This window comes from Homo sapiens, chromosome 9 (assembly GCF_000001405.40).
Source record: "Homo sapiens chromosome 9, GRCh38.p14 Primary Assembly".
Lineage (NCBI taxonomy): Eukaryota > Metazoa > Chordata > Mammalia > Primates > Hominidae > Homo > Homo sapiens.
Window position 1 is genome coordinate 28,912,408 of NC_000009.12, and position 22,937 is coordinate 28,935,344.

At 37.0% G+C, this 22,937-nt stretch overlaps 1 protein-coding gene across 12 annotated transcripts in view, besides 1 other annotated feature; it reads right to left on the reverse strand.

The window, feature by feature from the left end:
* LINGO2 (leucine rich repeat and Ig domain containing 2) overlaps positions 1-22,937 on the reverse strand; it is a 1,275,985-nt gene that overhangs the window by 974,791 nt on the left and 278,257 nt on the right. Inside the window, exon 3 of one of the 12 annotated variants that reach the window (XM_047422812.1) lies at positions 1,385-1,467. The exons of 10 other annotated variants lie outside the window; for them this stretch is intronic. The gene's annotated coding sequence lies outside the window, so the exon portion shown is untranslated. Of the gene's footprint in view, positions 1-1,384; positions 19,408-22,937 lie in introns of those variants that run through there. One more of the 12 variants, XM_047422816.1, reaches the window with a different exon arrangement.
* Positions 16,640-17,209: an enhancer, noted in NCBI's record as "NANOG hESC enhancer chr9:28929045-28929614 (GRCh37/hg19 assembly coordinates)". NCBI's record gives its function as "activates a minimal SCP1, AML or CMV promoter by ChIP-STARR-seq in naive H9 embryonic stem cells {active_cell/tissue: H9 hESC(naive)}" and the evidence as "EXISTENCE:reporter gene assay evidence [ECO:0000049][PMID:30033119]".

The window sequence follows — 22,937 nt, forward strand, 5'->3', positions numbered from 1 at the left end:
CTGGTAAGCTGTTCTGTCTTCTTTTTTATACTCTGGCAGGCAACTCTTCTGTATTATTATGGAGAATCAGCCATTATAGAATAATAAATTATTGTTTGCTGCTCACCCTGGAAGATATGTGACAGTTGCCCATAGGAGAAACAGATAAAGTGGAAATCTACATCCACTAACTGGACAAGTAACCCTTATGGAATTTTATTCAAGGCTCATGCTTTAACCATTATTTATTTTCTCCTCACATATAGTCTTCATTGACATCATGTGTCTTCATTAGTAATCACTGATGCTTCTCCTTATTACCTCAGTCTTGGCTAGTCTACAAAACGACAGCCTGTATAAGGTGTTCCTTAAATATATTTCATGCTTAGACCATGCAGTATATTTTAAATCAAATCATCTCAACTATTTTGTGATAATCATAAAAGATATGTCCTACTTCCTGACTTTTGGATTCATGACATCACCTCCTGGCCTTCTTGAGATTGTGTGGAATCTAGTGAATGTTGTGCAGAAGTTATGTGTGTGACTTTTAATTGTTGGTGCTAGATCTTTCACATCTCTCATTTCCTTCTGGCACAATAACCAGCCACATTCTTTATGGTGGCGGTGTTGAAAGTTAGTTAATTAACATTATATTTTGAGGTATTTCCTCTGTACAGTTTACACTCAGTTTCAACTGATCTAGACAATAATTATCTTTTTCTTTCAGGTACTCCAAACTAAATGATCTGTTCAATAAAATCCTCATTTTGAGGTAGACAATCTCAAACATATGTTCCTAACAGGATGAAAATCTCTGTTATCATCATAATAATTCCATTATTATAACATGTGATGTAGTAATTATTAATGATTTTATTATCCACATGTCTATTTGTATAAATGCCTGTTCAGTGAAATAGAATTTTATATTCTAGCAAATCATGGTTTAGCTAGTCTTTTAAGGGAAACTAAGGCAAAAGCAAGGTTTCCAGTAGGTTTATTGAAATACTAACCTTAATGCTCCTTAAATCATACTCAATGAAATTAGTACTGTTGCATGATATGTCAACCATATTTTATAATACTTTACGTTATACAATATTATATAGGCATCTTTGTTCAAGGATTCAAACCCTTAAAATGTGAATGTGTACTTAAAATCTCCAATGTATAGATAGTATAAAGAACGCTTTAAAATACCTTTAATCAAAATAGAGAAAGAATATTGGGTATACATACATGAGTCTAAATAGTTGTAGATTTGTCAGGTCCTTACATCCCATATTTCCTCCAAAATTAAAGTCTCCCTTTTTTGTGATAATCTGATAATACTTGTTGTTTTATAATGCTTATTACATATTCACTACTTAAGAAACAAGATGTGCATAATTTTGCTATTTACCTGCTTTAGTGTTCCTGGACTCAGCATTGAAAGTTTTCATGACCAAGTAATACGTTATAGTGAGTACAATTTCATTTTAGATTCTGCAAAATAGAGCAAATGTATCAGAGAGCACATGATTTTTTAATTAAAATGGTACGTATACATGATAGTCACTATCATTTAATTGTACTTTTGAATACTGACATATCGGCTTCATTGTTTCCATGTTTTCTCATAGAAAAAATTTAGAAGTCACAATTTATGCCACTCTCACTTTCCAAGAGAAAACAGACTTTCCTGTGATAAAGCATACAACAAGAAAATAACTCATTAAAACATGAATGCATAAAAGGGCAGAAACCCATTAGCTACAATACAATGTGTGTAATTCTTGAAACCTGATTTTTATGATCTAAATACATTTGTGTATACAAACAGATAGCATAAATGTACAGGATAAAATAAAACATATAACCAAAAGGAGGGAGAATAAACACTTTAGACAGCACAGACCAGATAAAAGTATCTTTCTTTTGGCCAAAACGCTATATATACTATGAATTTAAAGTAAGGTTATGGACTTTATGTGTGGGATTTATAACTGAGTTAGCTATCAATATCAAGCAGTTATCAAACCTATATCAAGAAGCATTTAATTTTAGGATATTTAGACCATTTTCTTATGCAAATAAAACAAAAATAAAAAACTCATCCAAGAAAATCTACAGATCAATATTAGCTTGAGACAAACATAACTACAGCTGATCCTTGAACAATTAATTGGGTTTGAACTGTGCAGGTTCACTTATACATGGATTTTTTTTTCAACCAAACACAGATTGAAAATTTGATATTTGCAGGATGTGAAACCTCATATACAGAGGGCCAATTTTTCATATATTTGGGTTTGACAGGGTCTGCTGAAGGACTTGAGTATGAGTAGATTTTGGTATCTTCCAGTGTCCTGGAACAATCCCTCCTGTATGACAAGGGATGGCTGTATACAGTTACAAGTACAGATCAAACTTTACAATCACTAACCCAAACAGTCCTGGATGTTTTAAAGATAGTCACAAACGCTGGGTGCGGTGGCTCACGCCTGTAATCCCAGCACTTTGGGAGGCCGAGGCAGGCGGATCACAAGGTCAAGAGATGGGAGACCATCCTGGCCAACATGGTGAAACCTCATCTCTACTAAAAATACAAAAATTAGCTGGGCATGGTGGCACACGCCTGTAGTCCCAGCTACTTGGGAGGCTGAGGCAGGAGAATTGCTTGAACCCGGGAGGCGGAGGTTGCAGTAAGCCGAGATCATGCCATTGCACTCCAGGCTGGCGACAGAGCGAGACTCTGTCTCAAACAAACAAACAAAAAATAAATAAATAAAAATGAAAATAAAGTTAGTCACAAACTTTGAGGACACAGAAAGCTCAGGAAAAGTACCCAATGCTTAGCAAGCATTAATCAAGTTTATTTTTTCTGTCTTCTATTATGAAATCATCTGTTCACAGTCACTTCTTCAAGAAAGGCACGGGTTCTCAAATTTGATTGTTCATTTGAAACACCTGCAGGGCTTGTTAAAACACAGATTACTGGGTCACTGCAGAGTTTCTGAATCATAGGTCTGGGGTGTGGCTTGAGAATCTACCTTAGTAACATATTCTAAGGAGATAAGGAAGCTGCTGGACCAGTGACCACACCTTGAGAATCATTAACTTAGTGACTTAAAAGCCCTCAGTATCACCATATTTACATATGTGTGTTTTCAAGTACTTTCTGTTGGGCCTCACTTAACTTAAAGATTACTTCAATAGTATTGAAATAGACTTGTGTATTAAAAGTAAATATGTGGGTAAATGTAATTCTTACTGTAAGGGTACATGAAGAATGCTGGTCACTTAGGAGATACTTTATCAGTGAATCACATAGTTCAAATGTTCACTAAATAAATTCTAACTGAAGGCCTAAGGTATACTAGAGACCAGATTTACCAAGATAAATAAGATATGTATTATCCCTGTCCTGAGAGTTTAGAATCTAGCAGAGGAGACAGAATAAAGAAGTATAAGCATGGTAATCACATTAATACATAACTGATAAAATCTTCAAGTTTCTGCTAATGTCTCAAGATATCCTGTAAAATCTCTGATAAACGGTCGCGAATTTCTGGCTTGGCTCTGTAAACTAAAAATAAAGTTCTAAGCCTTCCCAGCCAACCAAATGGACCCTCCTCTTGGCCAAGGGCTTTCCAAAGTCAATCTGAAACACCAGTTCAGGCCATGGTGCAAATGGGTGGTCAGACATGCCTTCCTTACACCCCACTTCTCTTTGGAATTCAGGCATGATTGACCAGCACTAACATTTAAAACAGAGAACTTAAGACTGACAAAGCAGACGCTTTGTTACAATAATATACCGACATGACAGACAGCAGGCCCCGAGAGAAATCAAAGTATTTCACCCCCGAATTTGTTTCTTTGACATATTTTGAAATGACCCTGTAAAGCTGTCTTTTGTGGGGAAAATCTACATTCTGTAGAGAATTCTCTTCCTTTCTAGGTCTTTTTCCTGATCCAGGAGAGAATTAACTAAGAGCCTGGCATCTTTTAACGTCTGATAAGAAACATTTACAATCTATTCTCTCTGAAGCCGGCTACCTGGAGGCTTCCCCTGCAGAATGAAAACCTTGGTCTCCAAAACCTCTTATCTTAGTCCAAACACTCCCTCCTTCTATTGACTCTAGTCTTTAGATAAACTCTTTCAACCAATTGCCAGTTAGAAAATCTTTTAATCACCTGGAAGCCACACCCCCATCCCTACACAATTGCTTCCAGTTGTCTTGCCTTTTAGGGCTGAGCCAATGTACCATCCATGTATTGATTGACGTTTATGTCTCTCTATAACATATAAAACCAAGCTGTAGCCCAACCACCTTGGGAACATGTTCTCAGGATCTCCTGAGACTGTGTTATGCACATGCCCTTAGCTTTGGCAAAATAAACTTCTAAATTAATTGAGACTTGTTTTATACTTTTTGGTTTACAGGTTCCATTTTAAATAGGTGTATATTCTACACTGTGAATAGCCCTTGTCTTCCACCTTTCTGTGGTCATATTTTCCTCAATGTCTAAAGGAAATGATTCAAGAACACATCCACCAATACTGGGGAAAGTGCTCTTCTCAATATATGTAAGGATTTTGGAAGATAAGGTGGGAGTAAACACTAATGTTCAACTAATAATTCCCACATCCGTTGCTGCATTAATCTCCATGTCTTACTTCCCTTTCTACCTTTTGTGGTTGTCATGAATTATCTTTGAATCTCAGCCCTGTGGAAAATGTTGTCTAAAACAGAAAGCTGCTGTGTGTATCAGACCCTGAAAATTGGAAGTTAATGAGTGAGAAGTGGGAAACTATATCACCGAAATAAAATAATAACTAAAAATTAAGTAGTAAACATTATTATTATAAAACACCCTAAGATATCCAACTATGGAGAATTTCACAATTTATATCTACCTCAGCCTTCCAACATGTTAAGAGGCCTGCTTTCCTCTGTTTTATTGCTTCTCACATTTATTGTCTTTCTCCCAGTTCTAGGTTTCTCCATTTTCCACCCATCCATTCAGAAACAAAACTCAAAAAAAAAAAATTGTCATTAGAATAGGTTTTTTTGGGTTTTTTTTTCTTTTTGGTGAGAAGGAGTTTTGCTCTTGCTGCCCAGGCTGGAGTGCAGTTGTGGGATCTCGGCTCACTGCAACCTCCACCTCCTGGATTCAAGCAATTCTCCTGTCTCAGCCTCCTGAGTAGCTGGGATTACAGGCACCCACCACCAGAATAAGTTTTAAAAGTCTCATAAAAAGTCATGTAAATCCTTTTCAGTGTCCTGGATATAGAAAGAAGCAGTGATTTACATTTTCTTCTTATTTTTGTTTTCATGATAGTTTTTCCTTTACATTAGGTCATAGAGTTGAGTAAAGCAAGAGAAAGCTTGCTCATTAAATTTTCAAATGACAGAAAGTTGGGAAGTTCAGCTCATATAAAAGATGATTGAATCAAGGTGCAAATGTATTCTTCTAGGTTGAAATTATGAAAGAAAATTGAATAGTCATTAATACGAAGTCCAGCATTTATAGTAAATGAAAAGTCAAGTAGAAGTTAGGCATATCTGCTGTGACAAACAGTGCTAGCGGCCTACACAATATCCATTTTGAATTTTTATCTCACTAACAGATCCCTAAGGTATATTCAGCTAGAAAACAGTTTTCCAGTCATCCCTTACAGATACACTGTGTATTAGTCCATTTTCATGCTGCTGATAAAGACATATCCGAGACTGGGAAGAAAAAAGGCTTAATCGGACTTACAGTTCCACAAGCCTGGGGAGGCCACAGAATCATGGCAGGAGGTGAAGGGCACTTCTTACATGGTGGCGGCAAGAGAAAATGAGGAAGATGCAAAAGCGGAAACCCCTGCATCAGATCTTGTGTGACTTATACCCTGCAATGAGAAGTGTATGGGGAAAACCACCCCCCCAGGGTTCAAATTATCTCCCATTGGGTCCCTTCCACAACACATGGGAATTATGGGAGTACAATTCAAGATGAGACTTGGGTGGGGACACAGAGCCAAACCATATCACACAGATCAATGAAAAATAAATTGAAATCATTTGGACAAAACTTCCAGGAAAGTCCTTTTAATCCCTCCCATTCCTCCTCCTTTCTCCCTTGCATAAAATTCCATTCTTGGAGTCAAATAGCCATTTGTGACCCATCAATGGAACATCTGACTTAGGGATTGTAGAACACAAAGCTAGAAGGAGCCTACGTCTCTAATGACACAGGATTATTTAATTTTAGATTAAAATGTATTAAAATGGAAACATCAGTGTCAATACACTTGAAAACATATATTTCAACGTATGCGGAATAACGTTCCAAATGTCTTTTTGCCCCTGTACCTTTTTTTCATTCCCACAGCTTCATGTTTATCTTGCTATCAATTAGAAAAACATGAAACAAAACAACAAACTAGGACATAAACTGCAATAACAACAAAACTAAAACAACAAAATCAAAATTTAAAAACAATCATATTAGCAAAAACCCTATTAGCTCATTGTATGGATTCAAGGGAATCAACAAAGAGACTAAGCTAAGGAGAAAATATGCCCCAAACATCTATTTAAAGTAACAGGATGGGTGCACTGTATCCAGTATGTTCAATTATAGAGGCTTCAGCTTCAATCCGTGAAAATAGGTAAAAATTACTTAACTAATACTTCAATGCAGACATTCCTTTGTTGCTTACCTTACATTCCCCTCAGGTGTCTGGGAGATATTTGTCTTCCTACAACTCAAAATATATGAGCCACAGAGCATCGCCAGATGTACAAGTGCACTGGCTGAACTACTTCTCATTATTAATGAAGTGAAGCTGACACGTCTAATGAGTTTACTTCCATTTAACCTATCATGCAGTCATGCTTGAAGGTTCAGCCATGAATCCGTATGATGATGATGATGACAACTGGGGACACATTTCTTATCATTTACTACATTTTCTGCCTCAGTAGTTGGCAAACCTACATGCCAGTCCCAGGGAACTTCATTATACAATCTCTTCCTACTGATTCCTTTTCCCAAAAAGTGCCATGTATAACATAGCATGAAATCTGCTATGAATTATTATGAATAAGTAACATCACTTGATGTTATGTCCTGGTTCAGCAGCACACAAGGACCAGTAGTCAATCTTAAAACAGCCAGACTCATGTATCTTTTGTGCAAAATGACCACAATCAGAAATCACAGGTGTATGTGTCATAGGCAATGGACTCAAAGCTAGGGGTGCAGGCATGGACATTCTTTTATTCAGTAGTACACTGCAAAAGATTATATGAGCATACAAGGACAAAGAAGGTTACTTTTACCAGTGTATTACAGTGATATATTTTCTTTATAAAACTGGTATAAACATTATAGACATTTCTAAAAATGAAAACAAAAAGGGAAAAAATCCATAGCTATGGCAGGCCCACACAACCACTGCTAACTTTAAACATTATATCCTTTTAGACTTCTGCTAAACACATATTTTACATTGGTATAATCACGCTATAATGTAATTTGTATTATGCTTTCCTCATTTAATTTAAATGAGTGAATATTTCTATACTTTATATGAGATCAGTAAAAATACTACGACATCACAAATTGTTACACTGTAGTTTATTAACCAGTCCTCTTTTGAACATTTATTTCCTATTATAAAATCAATTACTGCTAATCATCACCCTGTAAATATACATATTTCTCTATTTAAGATGATTCTTTTAAAATAGATTCTCAGAAGTGAAATTACTCAAAGGCATAGACGTTGTAAGTCACCTCTACACAGGTGGTTACAGAAAAGTCTCCTTAAAGATTTGAACATTTTTTCTTAATGCACCTGATGAAGTCTGGTACCAATAAATAATTTGATTTCATAATACAGTTGCATCTTTATAGAGGACTAGTATAATATATATATATAATAAAATTTTTAAGTTCAGAAGCTCAGCTTTGCTATTAATATAACTGGATTTCCTCTTTTGAACAGGGAAATATCTCTGTTCTCACTTTTCCTTGTATCCTTTGTTCACAAAAAGTCTGTGCCTTATGTCACATTCCCTCAGGATTTCATTTTTATTAGGAAATAATCAGTCTTATAAATTGGTTAATACAAATGTGGCTAGAAACTATCATTACCCTTTCCTAGTTAATACTTTTCTATTTTACTCAAATGTACATATCTACAAAACATTCTCAAAGAAATTGCTACTAAATAATGCTTTGGAATTTTCTTATGTAGTAATGGGTCATGAAGGAGCATATTTTGCAAAAAAGAATGTAGTAAGTCCTTGTGAAATCACAAATGTCAGAGCCGGTGGCCTTTGTTATATCCAGATACACACACACACACACGCACACAAATCTACATAACCGAATCTTAAATTGTTTCTATACACATACTTGTCTAGGATCAGAAAAGCCTTAGTTTAAACCCCTGGCCACACACTTAAAATTTGTTAGCAGGTCACTTAATCTCTTTTTAGCTAACATTTCCAGATCTGCAAAGTGGAGATAAAATACCTACATTATAAGATGGTTATGAAGATTACAAATGGACACTATGAAAATTATAAAACTGTACAAAAATATATGCATTTTTAGGAAGTATTAACTACTCACTGAAAAACATGTAAGCAATGATAGAAAATGGAATTACAATATGATAGCCAAATCACCTTTATGACACATGCGGGAATGGAAAAAAATTGAGAGGCAGCTTTATCGTATTTCTAAAAATGGTGGCTTATATTGGACATAGTGAGAAAAAAGATGTTAAACAAAATGAAAATGTTAATCTTTTATTAAGCAGTTTCAGAGACAAACATTTCTAATCACTGGAAAAATAATAAGGCACTGACTATCCAGAATCTATTCATATTTCACCTGTAAATGTAGGCTCTTCATTTGTGAATCCCTCCATCCTTTTCTCTCATATCACATAGTCCCACATACCTGATTCCACCCCCACCCCAGAGGCAATAATGAGTTTCGTAGGACCAATCAGAGTCTTGAAGTCTCTTAACCACAATGACCGACTGAGACAGGTAGGTCATCCCGTCACACAGATAAAATTATTGCAGATTTTGCCAAAACTACTTGATTAGAAAAAGGTATTCTTTTTTCAGCATTTAGAATTGTGATGTGGGGACCTGCTGCAATTATCTTGGTAGCTCGAGCAGTAAAGTCCATCTGAGACTATGCAGAAAACAGGGAAGGGAGCACAGCTAAGAGAGCGGAGCAAGGAGGAAGAGAGAGAGATAAGCTAACCCTCAGATCCTAAAATCATCTGTGTCTTAAACCAGCACGTCAGTAACTTCCATTCATCCTTCCACATCCACTCACCAGTTATTCCATCTTGTTCAGTGTCTGGACTGGGAGAGTGCATTTATAAGGATGGTATCAAGGAGCTTCTTTACCTCTGACTTCAAGTTAGTTTCAAATTGTAAACATCGGCAGGAGATTGCAGAGAAGGAAGAAAATAAAGTGAGACTATTTTATTATCCTGGATTCTTCCCTGAGGTGTTGAATCAGGTTTGCTGCACACCTTAGCTAAAATCTCAGCTCTTGGCAGGTGGTCTTCTCCATGTAGATCAGTCTCTAGGTTCCTGTCACTGCCCCATGCCCTCCCCCAGGCCCTGGACTTTGTAACAGCTCTTTGTGTACAGGCATTAGACTATTGCACTGTATCTTATGGTTTCCCTATACACTTCCTCCACATTTCTGCATATCCTCTTTCATTACTATTTCTCAAGTTACCCAATGTGAGTACTCCATCTGCTTCTAGCTTTGACTTTCACCAATAAACCAGTCCCACAATGAACATTGCAATTATCTGAGTAGGTAACACACTATTTTGTCGTGTTCAAACTAGTGCATGTTGTGTTTTGTATCACTTGTGACAGAAAGAATTCTAATAGATGAAAGCACCATTGTCTCCGCATGCATTGATAAATTCGGAAGGGTACAGTTACTCTGCAAAGAGTCAGATTTTTTTTTTTAAATAAAACAAGGGGACATTCAAACTTTTAGATGATAAGTTTCAATGAGTTATTTAAGGAAGCAAAAATATGTTCTTGCTCAATGGATATCCACTGTAAGTAAAAGGAGCAGTTAACCACAGGAAATAATTAAACTGCGTAATAACCTTATTGTAAATCATGGCTAAATTAAAATCATATCTCAGTTATTTATTTTCACAGTAACTCCTGGGGTTAAAACAGTAAATGGGATCAAGAATGAATAAATAAGTGAATGAATGAACAAACAAGCATTTATTGATATTAAGTATTTAAAGCCTATAAAACCCTTTAAACACTTTTTGTTAATTAAGTGTCACTACTTTGCGACACGGGTTAGAAAAGGATCTTGAGCTGTGCATAGCTTATGGTAGGCTGAATAATGATTTTCAAACATATGCCCGTCTTAATAACCAGAAGCTGCGAATGTTATATGTCAAAAAGTATTTTGCAAATGTTATTGAGAATCTTGAGATGGAGAGATTATTTTGGACTATGCAGGTGGACCCTAAATGTAATATAAATGTCTTTATAAAAGGGAGGTGGAAGGAGATTTAACCATTAAAGATGAATACAACGCAAGGATTGAAGTACAAGGTTAAGCTACTTGGCTGGCTTTGAAAAGCGAGAGAGTCAGCAGCCAAGGAATGAAAGAAATGCGGCACTAGAAACTGAGAAATGAAAGGAAATGGATTTTCTCCCAAAGTATTTTGTGGGATCTCAGCCCTGCTGGCACCCTGCTTTCAGCCCGGGAAAACTGATTTTCAGCCCAGGAAAACTATTCTTTATCTTATAGATGGTTAGATGATGGTGACTACATTTCCCTAACTAATTCTGCAAAGTTATAGCAGAGCTCCCCAGAGACATTGGCTCTTAATGAGTACTCAAGTCAGCTCTTTCACAGAAAGACTGAATTTTCAGAATCTCACGAGTGGCTTTTAAATCCAAGTTATTGATGGTTGCTTTGTTTTTGGAGCAGTATTTGTGTCTTGTTTAGTAATGTGGATTCTCTTACAGAACAAATTTCTGTTTAGAAGCTTTTAGAATAAATAAGAGGAAAAAATCTTTTAGCCCCTGTGGACCACTAAAAACTGATCCACCAAAAATCTTTTGCCAAGTATCTGAAAAAGAGACATCTGTTTGGGACTTGGTTTGGCATGTTCCAAGAGTGAATCCTGGAAGGAAAAAAGAAATGAATTACTTGGCATACAACAGGATGGGAATAGGCCACTCGGGATAATTGAATGTAGACGACATAAGAAAGAAGCGTTCCACTTAGGAACTATCAACTAACAATTACTAATGAAGGAGGCACCAGAGGGAAAAACCTGGTCTAGTCATAAAAGCAACCAGAGAACTTCTGGGTGGAACCAAAGATGCCCTCAGAGCTACTCTATAAAATAGGCCAATTATTAACTAGTGAGTGACCAAATAATATTTGCAAGTAAAGAGGGGGTAAATAACTGTTACACTTGGCAATATCCAACGAGCCAGCTCTGTACAGGAAATAAAAAGGGATCTGATTTGGGGGAAAAGAGGTAGGCACTGTCACAGACTCACATGATCATGCTCGGTCTAGAAAACTTTGCTTTTTAAGAAGCACATAACAGCTAGATTTATTATTTTCAAATGTAGATAAGACCATGTCACTACTCAAGCCTCTACAAAGAAGTGGAATTGCACTTTGAATACAATCTAAGCATCTTGGCACGTGCCCTGTGTACTATACTTTAACTCCCCTGGTTTCTTTCAGTTTCCCAAACTTTTTTTTTGCCTCCAGCCTTTGCGCAAGTGATTTGCTCTGGGTAAGTATTCTTTCTTTTTCTTTTCTTTGAGACAGAGTCTCACTCTGTCACCCAGGCTGGAGAACAGTGGTGCAATCTCAGCTCACTGTTCAATCTCACTCCCAGGTTCAAGTGACTCTCCCACCTCAGCCCCACAAATAGCTGGGACCACAGACCCGCACCACCATGCCCAGCTAATTTTTGTATTTTTTGTAGAGACAGGATTTCGTCATGTTGCCCAGGCTGGTCTCAAACTCCTGGACTCAGGCAATCCGCCAGCCTCAGTCTCCCAAATTGCTGGGATTACAAGCATGAGCCACCATGCCTGGCCTTATTCTTCCTATCAGAAAAATCAAATAAACAGACAAACAAACAAACAAAACCTGGTTTATAGTGCAGTCCAGCAGGTAATAACATCAGTTCCATACAGTTGTCCCAACTATAGATGTTTGGAAGGGAAATGACAATCAACACATGTTATACTACTCTTCCTTTGATCAAGCTTATATTTAAAAAGCTTTTTTATAGCTTTGCTGTACATAAATGTTTTCTATTAGAGCAACACTGTGTAATAATTAATCATTTATGTGTCCGATGTCAGGTGCCTATATATTTAAAACTGTTATATCCTCTTGATGAAGTGACCTCTTTATCATTACATAATGACCTTGTCTCTTTTTATAGTTCTTGACTGAAAGCCTATTTTGTCTGATATAAAGATAGCCACCCCTTCTCTCCTTTGGTTTCCATTTGCCTGGTATGTCTTTCTTCCTCCCTTCACTTTCAGTCTATGTTTGGCTTGTATATTTCAACATTTCTAAGAGTAGACTTTAAATATTTTTGCCACAAAAAAGGTAAGCATGTGAATCAATGAATTTGTTAATTAGCCTGATTTTATCATCCCACATTGTAAACATATATCCAAACATCACATTGTACCCCATAAGTATATACAATTGTTATTGGTTAAAAAATAAAATTTAAACGCTTTTTAAAATAGAATAACCCTTCCCCAGAGAAAAGTCTTGCCTTTGTTCTTGGCTCCTGAGAGGTGATCTCTAAGTCTTTGGAATGTCCTTTCTGCTAAGAATATCTTTGTTTACCTGGGGATCTTGAACCAGAGCCAGTGATGTAACTACATGACTAACGATAGGAGTTTTGGGCCAGGTATCAGCTCCCTGCCCAGAGGGTCTAGAGACTAAAGGTCAGCCACACAGTCAGTCTAATATGTCTATGTGACCAAGTGCCAGTAAAAACTCAACACTGGGGCGTGGTGGTTTCCTTGGTGGGTAATACCCCATGCAAACTGTGATACATCATTGCAGAAAAACAAGCATTCTTCATGACTTCCCTGGGGAAGGATAACTGGAAGCTTTGCATTTGGAACTCTCCTGGACTCTGCTCTCTTTGTATCTCTTCCCTTGGATAATTTTAATCTGTATCTTTTTGCTGTGATAAACTATTAACTATATACTGTATTACAGCTTTCCATGATTTTTGTGGGTTCTTCTAGTGAATTATCAAAACTGATGGTGGTTTTGGTAACTTTTGAACTTTGTAAGGACAGCTGTTCTCAAGTCAGCTATAGAAGACAAATAAATTGCTTTCATTCACAGAAGCTCTTGTGACTTATCTCTTTAAGGATAACTGAAAACACAAAACTCTTTCACTTACAAGCAGTGAGTTTATGCCACATAGAGACCTTGGGTCCAGAGCTAATGGCTGTTTGAAGTAGTCTCACCCCTGAGTGGGAATGGGGACCCTAAAAAGGCAGTGAAATGAGGAAATTCTCTGCAGTGTCCAACCTTTGATCTGGGTATTCTCTAAAGAAACCATTTGGTTAAGCCAGGTGTGGTGGCTCACACCTATAATCCTAGCACTTTGGGAGGTCGAGGTTGGCGGATCATGAGGTCAGGAGTTTGAGACCAGCCTGGCCAACATGGTGAAACCCCATCTCTACTAAAAAATACAAAAATTAGCCGGGGACAGTGGCGCATGCCTGTAGTCCCAGCTACTTGGGAGGCTGAGGCAAGAGAATTGCTTGAACCTGAGAGGCAGAGGTTGCAGTGAGCCGAGATCGTGCCACTGCACTCCAGCCTGGGGGATAGAGCAAGACTCTGTCTCAAAAAAAGAAAAGAAAAGAAAAAAGAAACCATTCGCTTCATAGATCAGAATAACTACAGTGAAGTTTTATCACATTGCTTTTTAACAGCCATTGCCTTAAATATGGGCTTTAGAACAATGCCTACATTAAGAGGCTACTCCATCACCTCAATTAACCCCTACATATGCTGACATGACAAAGATATAATCTAAAAGCAGAAATGAGGAAGCCTGGTTTGCAAAACAGAAAGGTTTAGAATTCCTCACCCCTGCCACAAGGATATACAGATTTGTCATTTGTCTAAAAGGCATGCTGGTTTGAATGCTGGGACACCTGGATATGGGCTTGCTTTTTTTAATATGGTTAACGTCTATTTTTAATGTGTACGTAAGTTACTGTGCTTAACTATATATGTGGTGTTCTACTTCATGCTCTATTTAACAAACTTCTAAGAGTAATTTAGTTCACCTGCTTTAAATTCAGTTGAAGTAGAATGGAAGTGAACTGTATTCTCAGTTATTCTAATTGTCTAGGCAACTCAGATACACTTTTTCACTTACACTCCCTGCCCACCTTTTCATGGCTGTCTTCTCCTCATCCCTCAGGCTTCCACTGAAATGTCACCTCCACTGAGAACTCTTTACTTACTGTCTGTCAAAATTATTCTGTCCTCTGTCCACATAGATATTCTTTCTCTAGCACCTGCTGTTTTTTCTTCTTACAGCATATATCCCAAATTATTGATTTATATTTTATTGTTGTTTAGTTTCTTTTGCATTTGTCTTTCAAACTGGATTGTACATCTCCTGAAAAAGAGAACATATCTTTTTGGCTTATATCATCAGGTATAAAAAGTACTGTGCCTGGTAAATAGTGCCCCAAACCATAAAGGGACACATTTGAAAAATGATTGAATGTAGCACTATGAGCAGGTGGGGGCACTTAAGATAGATCTGAATTACCATTGATGAATTACCCTTTCATTCTATGCTTTCTCTATAGACTTTTAAGTGTTAGGGGCATTGTGAATACAGATTAGACAAGAGCATCAGACCAAAGACTCTCCCAATGAGCTCTAGAACTTTACATGGAACAGACTGAGAAAACAGGGTAAGGTAAACCAATAAACCCATGTAATATCTACTCCTTAGATGAAGAGCTAATCTAACAAGAGAAAAGGGAAAAGAGAAGGATTTAAATAATTGAGATGGATGATTTAGTATACTGGAGAGATTTTGGTTCTCTAAATCTATTTCCTGAACTGAAAAATAGGGAAATAAATTCTTACCCCTCAGGACTGCTGTAAGGATTATATGAGATAATGTAAATAAGTTGAAGACAATAGTTTGTGTGTAATACACTGGATAAATATTACTTCCTTTTACCCTTATCTCATCTATTGAATATTAATAAGAGCTAACACCTGCTTAATGCTTGCTTAGTGCTAAAAACTGCTGTAGGCATTTATATATGTTAATTCATTTCTTTTTCACAACTCTATGAGGCCAGTGCTCTTTATCATCCACATTTTACAGATGAAGAAACTGACATTCATTGAAGTTAAGTCATCTGCCTAAGGCCACATAGCTCATAAGTGACAGAGTTGTGATTCAGAGACAAGCAGCCCAGGTAAATTGTCTGTGCTCTTAACCAACATGCCCTGCGGTCATTTCAATAAATAAATTAACAACTGTTTGTTAAACACTACAATGTGCCAGAAAGTAGTCATTGTCTTATTTAGTCTTTGCAAAACAGAGTAGGTATTCTCTATTTTTGAATAAGTTGACATTCACAAAGATTTAGTCATTTATCCAAGATTTCTTGTTTCACAAGCCACAGAATTAGTATTTGAATTAATTTCTGTTAAACTTAAAAAAGTATTCTGTTGCCTTAGAAAACTTTACTGAAGCCTTTTTATATCAAAACCCTTTTATATAACTAATTATTATGTTTCCAAGTTTGCACATAGCTACAGAGACTTTTATATACACATGCAAAGGTAATATTCTCATGGAATAAATTCTTTTATAGCTATCTAAGTATGTGAACTTTAAATTAGTATCAATATTATTTCATTTTTGGTCTAAAAGAAGGATATACCTATCCTAACTCTTACTCAGTCGTTACGATAGTTGACCCTTGAACAACATGAGTTTGAACTGTGTAGGTCCACTTATATGTGTTTTTTTTTAAATAAATATATTGGAAATTTTTTGGAAATTAGCTACACAGTTTTAGAGGTTCCCACACAGGCACTGAGGTTCCACTCAGGCACTGAGAACATTTCCCTGCTAAATGAAACTGTAAAAGTGGAGATTTTCATTCTCTATAGTTTTGCTTTGGCCAGGACATGAAAAACACAGTGGATAGGATAAAAGGATTTCTAATGGTAGCAGGAGAATAATTTAAAAGGGTCCTAGATTCCTAATTCTTTTTTTTGTTTGTTTGTTTTTAACTGGTACACTTCTGACATGAAATAGTGCAATTCCCTCACTAGATGAGGAATCTAAGAATAGCCTTTCAGGGTAGTGAGTTCTAGGCAGCGCAATCGGCCCCGTATGTGAGCTCAAGTGAGCTTCTGCACTCCTGCCCAGGGGTTTCAGGAGGCAGCTTGTGGTGGTACCAAGAGAAGACTGCAAAACGGAAACAGCATGTGAATAGGTCAGTGCAGTGGGCTGCACAAAAGAAAATGTTCATGAAATAACTGAGAGTGGAGACTGTAAACTAGGGAATTCAACAAAAGCAATTTCAAATTCAACAAAAGCAGAGGGGAAATAGCATACAAAGCAGGTGAAGCTAGATGATATTTTGAGATATTTACTTGTTTTAGTTTGCGTTTTTCTACCTCTGTTTCTCTCTCACATGACTTTTAGCCCACTTCACGTGGGTTGCCTGCTCCACACCTTATTCCCTAAGGGGAGATACATGACACAGTAGAGAGTGAGTTTACTTAGAGACTCAGCCCAAGCAGAGTTCAGTTCTTTTTGGCTTTTGTTGTTCAAAAGCTTAAATGCTTAGGATAATTAAAAGTGTTTGCTAATGCATAGGAGGGATAAAAGAGTATTAGAAAAAGCACACTGGAAGAAACAATAAGGAATAAAATGTTAGCCTCAGGCTGAAGTTTCAACTGGGCTGAGGAGAGAGGGTTGGGAGGAGGGTTCCATATCCTCAGAGAAGGCAGCTAGAGTTCTCAGGAAATGACAGTTACCCAGAAAATGGACAAGGAACTGAGGCCTGGACATATCTGGAGGGCCTCAGCAAATAGTCCCAGTCTGTAAGTTTTATTACTGATCCTGAGGAGCTATACAAAGGAAACCATAAATCTTTCAATATCGGCATGGACAACTTTCCACATTTCTTTCCCCCATGACATCATGGCACACATAAATCCTAAGTATTATGTCACAACACTGCAAAGCTGAGTGAGAGTGCAAACTGCGCCAATGGTCTACGTTAATATTTTTATAGCTTGTGGAAATATAAATACAAAATACAAATTAAATAAACTATAAAGAACAAATTTTAACACCCCTGAGATTGAGACTAAGATTCATACCTAAAACAGAAAGTCATCTTGCTTGGAAAAAATTAATGGATAGATGTCTGATCTTCACCTCATTTCCTTAACACCTTTCTGAGAAGATTGTTTGTTTTTAATTTGTTATTCTAAATTCAAATCTGATCATGCCAGACCTGCTCCAGTGTCCTCAGGATAAAGCCCCAAATCCTTTGAATGGCCATTCATCACTTCTTTGCATCAACTTCGAGGTCATCTATCCCTGCTCTACCCCTTTTCACACTTTGTTCTTCAGGGATGCCTAGTGACTGGCAATTCCACAAACACAATTTGCATTCCTGTAAGCACACACTGTTCTTTGCCTTGAGTGCACAAGGGGTACTTCTCATGCACAAGGGGTACTGCTTCCTCTGCCTGCCACACTCTTTCTTATCCTTCAGGGTTTGGCTTAGACCTCCACTCTCTTGAAACCCTGGCTTGAATTCCTAAGAGAAGACTGTGTGGTCCTCCTCTGTGCTCCCATTTCACATGGTACCTGTTTCTTATAATGTTTCTTCTAGCAAAATGCTTGGCATCCCATAGGGCTCAAAATATTTATTGAATATATTAATGACTCTTGCAAGCCAGCTATGACCTCGCATTTAAGATTCATTATTTCCAAGCAATCAAAAAATGACATTGACTATGTGATAAGAATTTAAACAGGAGCAAAGGATTGGATATCAGAACTTCAAGGGACCTGAATTATATGATTTGACCCGACCAGTTCTTCCCCTAAGCTCCTTTCAAGGCAGAAGTATCTTTTATCTTTGTATCTCAGTATCTAACATGATGCTATTACATAGTAGATTCTTTAGAAATTATCGAGATAGGGAAGAAGGGAAGGATACAAGGAGGAAGGGAGAGAAAATTAAAATGGAGGGAGGAATTTAAATTTCTGTGGTCAACCAATGGCAAATTCAGGATTAGGCTTCACAGTCCGGATTTAAGACTGACCATTAGCCCAGTTCCCTTTTACCAGGCTAATGTACGGCACACAGAATCCTCTAGGGATTAGTCAATCACCTGTGAGAAGGTATTTCTTGGCAATATTACTCTACTGCTTTTCATTATATGTTATTTAAATTCAGAACACTCCTGTCATATGAATGCAGGCAATTAAATATTTTCCACATGAGCCATTCCTTCTTCTGGCAGAACTCAGATTATTTAATAACACTGTGGAGGAAAAAACCTCCTGGAATTTCACTTTTCATGAGAAATTAGATATTTGCTGATTTAGATTAAACTTGCCGTGGCAAATAAACTGCCACAATGTCCCTAGCCATATACTCCATGGTATGATGTCAGATCCTTTTCAGTAAGTTTTCAAAATGACTCTCAAATATGTAACAACATCATTTCAGATTAAATGACAGTTTTGAGTACGTGAAAACCCTAAACAGCATTTATCGGAGTTGGAGACACTAATATAAAAGAGTGAATAACCATGGCATGCTTAATTTGCAGTTCTTTTTCACTTCCCTACAGACAGCTCAGTGTCTCTTTGCTGCTTAGGAGCTTGTTTTACAACACCACCATGAGCATTTCTGCCTCCATCTGGGCAGGTACAATCCATTTTCTCTGGTACTGAGTTACTCAATGCCTTCAGACAGTTTTGCATTGCAGGAAGAGATCAGATAGCCTGACTTCTTTCTAATAAAGGTGTATTGCTATAATCTGGGGCTGTACTTTCCACATTTGTCCTTAACTACAACATGTTTTGTCAATTACCACATATTTCATGTGGTAAAGTAAAGAAAAATCTCTTTTCATAGAGGCATCGTACAGTATAAAATTGCTTTACAACTTTTTGACTCTAAGAGCTTAGGTTGAGGAAACATAGGATTGGAATATAACTGTTTAGCAAATATAGTAGTTTTCAATGACTTCAAATGCAAAATGTATTTATGTTGAGGCATCACTTACAAATGAGGCAAATATAAAATAAAACAGTTGCTTCAAAAGGCAGTGGCGGGGCTGGGTGCGGTGGCTCATGCCTGTAATCCCAGCACTTTGGGAGGCTGAGGCGGGTGGGTCATGAGGTCAGGAGTTCGAGATCAGCCTGGCCAATATGCTGAAACCCCATCTCTACTAAAAATACAAAAATTAGCCTGGTGTGGTGGCACGCACCTGTAGTCCCAGCAGCTAGGGAGGCTGAGGCAGAAAAATCGCCTGAACCGGGAGGCGAAGGTTGCAGTGAGTCAAGATTGCGCCATTGCACTCCAGCCTGGGTGACAGAGCAAGACTCTGACAAAAAAATAAAATAAAATAAAATAAAATAAGATAAAATAAAATAAAATGAAAGGCAGTGGCGGGGGCCGGGGGGGATCTTGGCAATATGACTAATTTTCATGAAGCAAGACTGCATCACATTCCAGATATATTTGGGAACATTCATTCTTTTCTCCTGAAGTCTGGCAGTCTTTTTTTCCTTTAATTTTTGATGTAGCATAGTTTCCTGGGCTTATTATTTTAACCTTCCTTTATAATAACTGGAATTCCTTCTCTCTCTGTCCCTTGTCCATCTGATCCAGGACTGGAGTCAAATTTCCATCCTAGAATAATCCAACTATCCACATCTTTCAGTCCATCATCAGGAACCATAGCTACTATTTATTGAGAACTTATTCCACTTAAGACACTATGCTAAGCGTGTTTAAGACAACGTCTTACATATACTCAGAGAAATCCAATGACATAGGCACTTTTAAATCTTTACCTCTATTAAGAACTTCGTGAGTTCTAAAACGGTTTCCTCTGGGTTGTCTAACAAGTCCCTAAAAGGTAACTTTTCTCTAACTAAGCCTGTGCCTCCTCCTATATTATCATTGTATAATTTAAGAACCTGGACTCATTCTAATCTCCTCCCCTTTCCTCCTACCCAACATCTAATTGCAAAGTTGTATCAATTTACCACCCAGCTACTTCTCAAATTTCTTAGTTACTCTCAATTTTTTCTGCTACTGCTTTAGTTTAGATCCTAATTACTACGCTTATATATAATTACAATATTCTACTGCCAGTTTGTCTTTAGTTACCTCTTTTTATTATATTATTATTATTATTATTATTGAGATGGAGTCTCACTCTGTCACCCAGGCTGGAATGCAGTGGTGTGATTTCCACTCACTGCAAACTCCACCTCCAGGATTCAAGTGTTTCTTGTGTCTCAGCCTCCTGAGTAGCTGGGATTACAGACATACACCACCATGCCTGGCTAATTTTTGTATTTTTAGTATTGACAGGGTTTTGCCATGTTGCCCAGACTGGTCTCGAACTCCTGGCCTTATGTGATCTGCCCACCTCAGCCTCCCAAAGTGCTGGGATTACAGTCATGAGCCACCGTGCCCAGCCTACTTATCTCATTCCACTGTATTTTCCATACTATTGCCTGAGGGATCTCCCTAAAATATAATTTTCAACATATCACCACCCTGCTTCATTGGGTTCCCCAAAATCCTTAGTTTAAACCAAAACTCTTTTGCAAACTCTTTGAAAATATTCTCTTTAACCCTGAGTTTCTAGCCTCCTTGTCCGCCAATCGCATAAGAACTCTTTACTAACCCAACCATAGCCATTTTCCAAACATATTTTTTGATGTTAACAATTTTTTTTTCCCGGAGCTTTCAGATTTTGATAAGATGGTAGTAGGAGAAGACAATATAGAATATATCACGAGGCAGAAATCTGATGGGAGTACAGGGTAGCTCCACCATCAGGCACCAAAGATTTTATAAGTGTGAAAGTTGTCAGAATCAAAATCCGGACAAACAGAGCCAGGGAAGGCCATGAAAAGAGAGTTCTCAAGCTTGTATACTTGATAACAAAAAAAGATGCTGCAAAACCCACAAATTTGCCCAAGGCCATTGTGACCTTACACAAAAAAATACTTCTACAAGGACATCCGCCCAACAATTGCTTGTCCAGCTTTGGACTGGTATCACCCTTGTTATTGATCTTTGTAACCAAGGATAATCATTTCAAAACAATTGTGTAATCATTTTCTCTTATAAAAACTTTTGGCTTTCTTTACCTCTTAAAATATGCATACAATTTATTATGGAAGTGTACTCCCATTGCAATGATCTATTCCTAAAATAAACATATTTTCTTTTGAAGAGCTTCTCTGATATTTACGATGACATAAGGATGTGGGAATCCTCTGTGGAGGGACATAAGGTATAGGGGTGAGGACTGGTAGGAGTGTAGCACTTCTTCCTGGCCAATGTAACGACTGGGGGAAAAATGGATCCAGCTCTCTGAAAATTCCAACTCTTTTTAATACATAGCTGAACTTGAGTATTGAAATTTGTTTTATTTCTTGTTGAATCTAACTTGCCCACACATGACTTTAAATTCCTGTTACACTGGTTTATGCTGATCAACATGGCTATCTTTCAAGAGAACACTATCCTTCAGCAAAATAGAACTTAAAGGCAATCTGCCCAGATAGTGGCAGTCATTTGCAAATAGATGAGCTAATGAGTCTCTTAGAAAGAGCCTGAAAATGACTAATGTGAGTGAGCTAGGAGGGTCCATCAGATAATGCCAACTTTTATGAATCTCCTTTAATTGACTATGATTGACAAGTACATTAATAACTTTTATGTCAAGGGCTTATGTCTTTTCCATTCTGTCACAAGCTGTAAACAATTTCATGCTGAGTATGATAAAAATGAAACTTTCTTGATTGCAGTAAAGGAAATACTTTCAATCCCTAAAAAAATCAGGTATCTTTTATTCCAGATATTTCTATTTGGTAGGTCAATGTACAGTTTCACACATTTAAGAAACCTCCAATATCTTTGCTCTTTGCAGCAAAAAAAGGGATAAAAAAGTTAAAACAATAAAACAACGAAAGTAAGACAATAGAGAGCTCCATTTATTTTGAATTCAATTTTAAGTTTATAGCATGATATTTGTATGTCTTAATCTAAAATTGCTTCAATTTCCTCAATTTTGTACAAAGGGTGATTCAATTTCAGATTAATTCAGATTGCCTTGGTAATACAGCCATTGTCTGCTGAATACATACATCATTATAACAGTGCTGTCCATTTAAATTGCAGTATTCTCTGTTTTCTGATATCCTGAGGTTTGATGCTTGTTTGATTTTGCTAAAGAATTATACTATGGCTTGATAATCAATTTCTTTAAAAGAAACCACGTCAAAATCCAAGAGAATGATACTCATCAATACTGGTCTTTAGTTTTTGTTTTTAAAAATTGTTTTTCAAGATTAATCACAAAAAATACAAAAAAAAGGATATATATACTTGTAACCTACAAATTCCTGGGAGACATTTTCTGCAATTAACAATAAAAAAAGAGACTAACAGGGTATATATCATGAAGTGTCTTTTTAGATGTCCTAATATTCTTACAGTTATTAGGACATTACATTCAACCGGAATAACAGCATGCCTCTTTTTCTTTAAAATTCTGACTAGTGATCTCAAACATGGAACTGTCAAACCATCCAATGCTAAAAA